The sequence below is a fragment of the Homo sapiens genome, chromosome 20, assembly GCF_000001405.40.
Source record: "Homo sapiens chromosome 20, GRCh38.p14 Primary Assembly".
Lineage (NCBI taxonomy): Eukaryota > Metazoa > Chordata > Mammalia > Primates > Hominidae > Homo > Homo sapiens.
This window is the reverse complement of record NC_000020.11, coordinates 24076427-24078202: the sequence shown is the minus strand read 5'-3', so window position 1 is coordinate 24078202 and position 1776 is coordinate 24076427.

The window sequence follows — 1776 nt, the reverse complement described above, 5'->3', positions numbered from 1 at the left end:
TCTCTGGGTGGAAACAGAACCAGACAAATCTCAAGGTGGGTGAGTGTGATGCCCTCTCCTCCTCTTCTCTACTCAGCAGCCTCCCTGATGCAAGCTCTCTTCCTTTCTACCTTCCTGTCAATACTTCCAAGACTGTCAGTGGGCACACCTCGAGTGCGTGATTCACCCCAGGCTGAAGTCATGGTCCTTTCCTAACAGTCCGCGTGTTCACAGAAAAATAATCTAAAAATACTGAAGGATTTAACCACCATTCATGCATATGTCCAGGCCCGAGCAGGTTGGGAAGAGAGTCTTTCCCAAATCATTCAAATCAAGGAGCATAATATATGGCACAGCAGTTGTCAAAGTGGGCGGCTGGACCAGCAGCATCCTATGGCCTAGGACTTGTGAGAAGCACAACTTCTGCAACCCCTGCCCAGACCTACTAAATCGGAAGTACTAGGCATTCAGCCCAGCAATCTGTTTCCCAGGAAATCCTCCAGGGGATTCTGATGGATGCCAAAGTTTGAGAAGCACTGAAGGTGTGTTTCAGAGTGTGGGCCCCAACTCCATCCCCAGGTTTGAACTCCGATCCTGCCACTTACTAATTATGATTCTCCCAACCACTTCAATAAGCTTTCTGCTTCATCTTCCTTCCCTGTCATATAAGGACATTGATAACAATTGTCCATAGATAATTAAATAGGTGACTGCATTTAAGACATTTGGAGCAGTGCCTGACTCAATGAATGCTACAACCAGAGGGCTGAAGCAGAGGGTGGAAAGCTTGAACTAGAACCATATATACACATACTCACATACACACACTGTCACATACACACACAGTCACACACACATACAGTCACAGGCATATACACAGGCACATACCCACACATGCACACACAGTCACACACACATACAGTCACAGGCATATACACAGGCACATACCCACACATGCACACACACCAGAGTGGGCCAAAGTGGGAAAATATCTTGTGAGTTTAACATGGACAGAGACAGAAAACAAATAAAAGTCAAGAAGAGAATCAGAGAAGGGCCAGATGCCAAGAGCTATATGTCCAATAGTCCACCCAAGAGGGGTGATAGGAAGCTCCTCCTAATTGTTCTGGAAGTGGACAGATTAGGTGAGAGAGGAAAGAATTGAAGAGCATCAGCTCTCTCCTAACTCTTAATCTAAGGGGCACAGTGAATGCAGTAATTGGAGACTTGTTCTGATGGTAAGTGCTAATTCACTGGCACTTGCGATGGTTTGAGGTCAGAACATCGTCCTCCTTGGGAAGATCAAGCAGTGATAAAGACACTCTTGATTTGGACCCTAAACTGGGTTGACCATGTTATCAAAATTTAAGGTTCTGCAGCTACATTATACCACCAGGAAGCCAACGACAACGCTGCGCATGGTTTCCCCCCATGCTTCAATTTCTAGGTTTATTTCTGACAAAAGCACCATTTGTCTCAACTGCTGACACCCTACAGGAAGAAAAGACAGGGTTAGATGCCACTTGGTAGTTTTCAAAAACACTTCTGCATGTATTTGAATTTCTGCACCATCCTATAAGGTATGCAGACACAGGTTGATTATTTATTTTGTTCATAATCATTAGCACTGTCCCAATTTACAAATGAAGAGACCATGGCTCAGAAAGCTTAAACAACACACACAGATTCAGTGTCTAACAGGACGCAGGGCCAGGGCCCAGACCATGTGGCTGCAGGCTCATTGCCTGTTCCTGCACACTGCTTGTTCTGAAAGTCCAGCAGTCCCAGCCTCAGAGA